Source organism: Homo sapiens, chromosome 21 (assembly GCF_000001405.40).
Source record: "Homo sapiens chromosome 21, GRCh38.p14 Primary Assembly".
Lineage (NCBI taxonomy): Eukaryota > Metazoa > Chordata > Mammalia > Primates > Hominidae > Homo > Homo sapiens.
Genome location: NC_000021.9, coordinates 30917006 through 30920879, shown reverse-complemented (window position 1 = coordinate 30920879; position 3874 = coordinate 30917006). Strand labels below are relative to the sequence as shown.

The window sequence follows — 3874 nt, the reverse complement described above, 5'->3', positions numbered from 1 at the left end:
CCTGCAACATAGTACACTAACACATATTAACTATTAAATTGCAAGGGACAATGACACAGATGCATTGGTCCTGGAGAGAATGGTCATTAGTTCTATAATAATACACAGTCTTGTCAAGTGCAGTGATGTCCTTAGGGTTTGAACCTTGAGTTTATCAGTTAGATCATATCATTTTGTGCTTCAGTAAAGAAGCTTAGTTTGGTGTGTTTAAACATTATTGTTCTGTCTAGCAAAAAGCATGTATTAATTGTATTAATCAAATGCATTGCTCTGTTTTTATAACCTTGATTCTCCTAAAAGAGGAAGATCAGTTGGCAAATTTCAGCACTTATTTCTAAGATTGTGGAAGCGTTATTTCTCAGCCAAGTTCTGGCAGCACCACTGCAGCCACTTAATTCTCTGGGGTGATTGCTCTTCATCCTGCTTCTCACCAGCATAGTGTGTTGTGGGCAGCTGTCACAGTAGCTTTTTAATCCTCCAAGAGCTTCCTCAACCCTCTTCTCTCCCACCTCCCAATCACCAACTGGGAATGCAGTTATTAAATTTGCCCTTTGGAAAACTTCAGGGGTCAGGAAATTTAACCTACTCTTTCCCTGTTTGTTCAGGTATGGAATCCAAATTGTTAGGTTATAGAATGCTGGAGCATTTCGTCAGACCACCTGCTCCTTAAATGTCAAGACTACCAGCAGTGTTTGCAATTCTACACAATGGATATTCTTTAGTAATGCCAAAACAAATTTCAGAGCATCATGTATTTAGTAACAGGTAAGAAGGTTAAAAGACTAAGAACCATGAAAGTAAATATTTGGCTCTTTATGTAGTAATAATATCACAATCCTCTTTTCTTCCTATTAGTGTTTTCAAGCTAAATTGTGTTGTTAATGCTGATAAAATTGAAACCGTAATGTTTCTTTCTGTGTTTATTTTAATTTCGAGAGACAATAAATTTACTGTTTTGTATTTTGTTTTTATATAATGTTTCTACTAATTTTCCCCAGTTGGTTTAGGCATAGAGAGAGTCAAGATATTTCTGGAATGTGGGTAAACACATGTTTTTTCCAATTCTGCCTCTAATTTACTAATACAATTTGTGTAATGAATAAGTTCTTATGCTATTTTGTGCCTCATTTATTTGATCTAGTGAAAACATTCACATTTTATTTTGTGATCTCTGGATATCATACGTGTTGCTGGAAGAGGAGAATACCTGGGGACAGAAACAGGGCATGCGTCCAGTCTGCCATCCATTTGCAAGGATGCTTTTGTTTTGTCTTTCAAAAGTGAGTTTCAGTTTCCAACTGCATAGTCTTTGGGGGCAAGCTATTGGTGGGAAAGTTTTTAGTCAGAGCTTTTTCCAAGAGCTCTCATGAGAATGAAATTTAACATAATACCCTAGGGAAAATGGAAATTTGAAATGATTACAGAAAGATGGGTCGAAGGAATTGGAAGTGCCCTCCATTTTCCAGCTGAGAGCATTCTGAGAGGCTACACCTGGCCAGTGCCCTAAGAAAGCTAATTTAGATACAGCCGTGAGAATGATGTTAACACTCAATGTGAAGGAGGATGTAACTGGGTGTCAACACAATATGATTCTTCAGGGAAAATAGTCACCTGACTCTCCCTAAACATTAAAGAATGTTAATTTTCAAATCTAATTGACTTAAATTCTGGTCCAAGACTTGTCCACAGAGGAAAGTGACCAACCATCCTGGTGTGTTTGTAACTGCTTTAAGCATTGAAAGGCACATGTCTAGAGAAACTCCAGTCCTGAGTGAGTTTGGAGAGTTAGTTGGTCATCCTCTCTGAGGCCATTCGGTCTATTTTACTTCATTTTATAGAAGTAAGTAGAGGGGAAAGGTGATCCAAAAGTTGCCCTTAGTTTTCCTTCCATGGTCTTATCCTGCACTGTCTATTTTATAAAGGAAATACCAGTTTATATGTTTTACAAAATCTCTTTCAAATTCTGTTGTTAGAAATGTGGGAGGGAGCTTTACTATGAATTATATCTACTCCATTGGTTGTTGGATAGTTGGGACTATCTCTTTATATTTCACACCTGTCATTTTACTTAAAGTTCTATTGTGCCTACAATGTTACTGACTTTTCACTTGCATGCCTTTATTGATTTTTCACGCCAGCATTTGACTTTAGGTTGGTGATACCAGACTAGTGACACTTGTCAAGTAGTGAAGATTGTGACCTCCATCAGTGAGGAAACATTTCAGAAAATCTGACTTACAAGGGCTTAAACAATGAGGAAGTTTATTTGCTCAGCTATGAAGTGTCATTGGGTAGGGCAGACTTAGGTTGGTTGACCCTGTGATTCAATGTCACTGAACATTGTCTCTTTGCCTGTCCTCTACAGGCAGGCATTTGAAGAATTGGCATCTGCTGTAGTTTGAATGTGTCCCCCAAAGCTATGTGCTGGAAACTTAATCCCATTGCAAGAGTGTTGAGATGTGGGACCTTTAAGAGGCTCTGCCTTCATGAGTTGTTTAGTGCTGTTATGGTGGGGATAGATAATTATCAATGGAATGGGTTCCTGATAAAAGGATGGGCTTGGCCCCCTTCCTCTTTCTCAGACATGTATGCTTTCTTGCTGTTTCACCTTGTGCCATGAGATGACATAGCACAAAGGCTATCACCAGATGCAACCCTTGACCTTAGACTTCCCTGCTTCCCTAACTGTAAAAAATGAATCTCTGTTTCTTATAAATTACTTGATCTTAGGCATTCTGTTATAGCAGCCCCAAACGAACTGAGACAGCATCTTTCTAAGCTTTATTCCCTCTCTTGATGAGGTAATGGTAACTAAGTGCCAAATTATTTATTTCTTGGGGGGTAGGGAGGCAGAATACAGAGAGAAATCTTCTCTTTGGTTAGATGAGGTCAGCTTAGGCCATGCATCTAGCCGCGATCTGAAAATCGATTCTGGGAGAATATGTGTACCCTTTGACCTAGGCCATTTCACTGTCTCAAGGGATTGAATTACCACAATGGGTTTAAACCATTGTTTCCCAGGTTTGAGGGAGCATCAGACCCATCTGCAGGGCTTTTTGAAACATGGTCCACTGGACTTCACTTTCAGAGTCTCAGTAAGTCTGGGGTGGGGCCAGTTCATGATTTGCATTTCTAACCACTTTCAGCTAATGCTAATACTGCTAGTTCAGGACCATGGCATTTTGAGAATGATTGATTTAAAATACTTAAATTCTACCTCTGAAGTTGATTTTAATTCCTCTCACAACTTTGAGGCAACAAAACAAGGAGGTTTGGAATGGACTTTGGACTGTCACCATGTCCCCACTACAACCTTTTCAGCTATTTTTCTTCTACCATCTCCTGCTTCCCAGCAACTTTTCTGTCCTGATCCTGAATCCTGGACCTACAGAGTCCTGTTGACATCTTTTCACTGGATCACCACCTTCTTACTACACTAGCCTTCTCTGAGAGTGTTCTATGCTTCAAAGTGGTCCTCCCCTCTTTCATCCCTGGCCCCTCTCCGATATAAAATTTCTCTTTCCTTTGCAGATCTCAGCTATGTAATAGATTGTTATGTGACTAAGCGATATGATTGTCCCTCTCAAGATTTTATAAGAATGTTAAGTTTCTACTTATGCACCTGTATAAGGGAGCTATTAGATCAAGTTATCCTTCCAGATATCTTTGGCCATTCCTGGCCAGTCCATTCTCTTTACTTCCAGTGAAGCAGAATAATGGTATCCCAAATGTAGAAAGTGAAAGACTCTTCTTAGAGCAACATTTTAGACTCAAAACCAGAATTACTAGATTGAATCACTCATTTCTAGACTTCTGGATTGTAAGCCTAAAATAAAACCACCCCGAAGGCAAGCTGGGGAACCCAACGTATCTG

At 39.3% G+C, this 3874-nt stretch overlaps 1 annotated feature.

Annotated features, from left to right (window-relative positions):
- Positions 550-719: an enhancer, noted in NCBI's record as "experimental_61925 CRE fragment used in MPRA reporter constructs". NCBI's record gives its function as "activates a minimal promoter by MPRAs in K562 erythroleukemia cells, with activity observed for the non-introgressed 21:32292565 variant allele {active_cell/tissue: K562}" and the evidence as "EXISTENCE:reporter gene assay evidence [ECO:0000049][PMID:34662402]".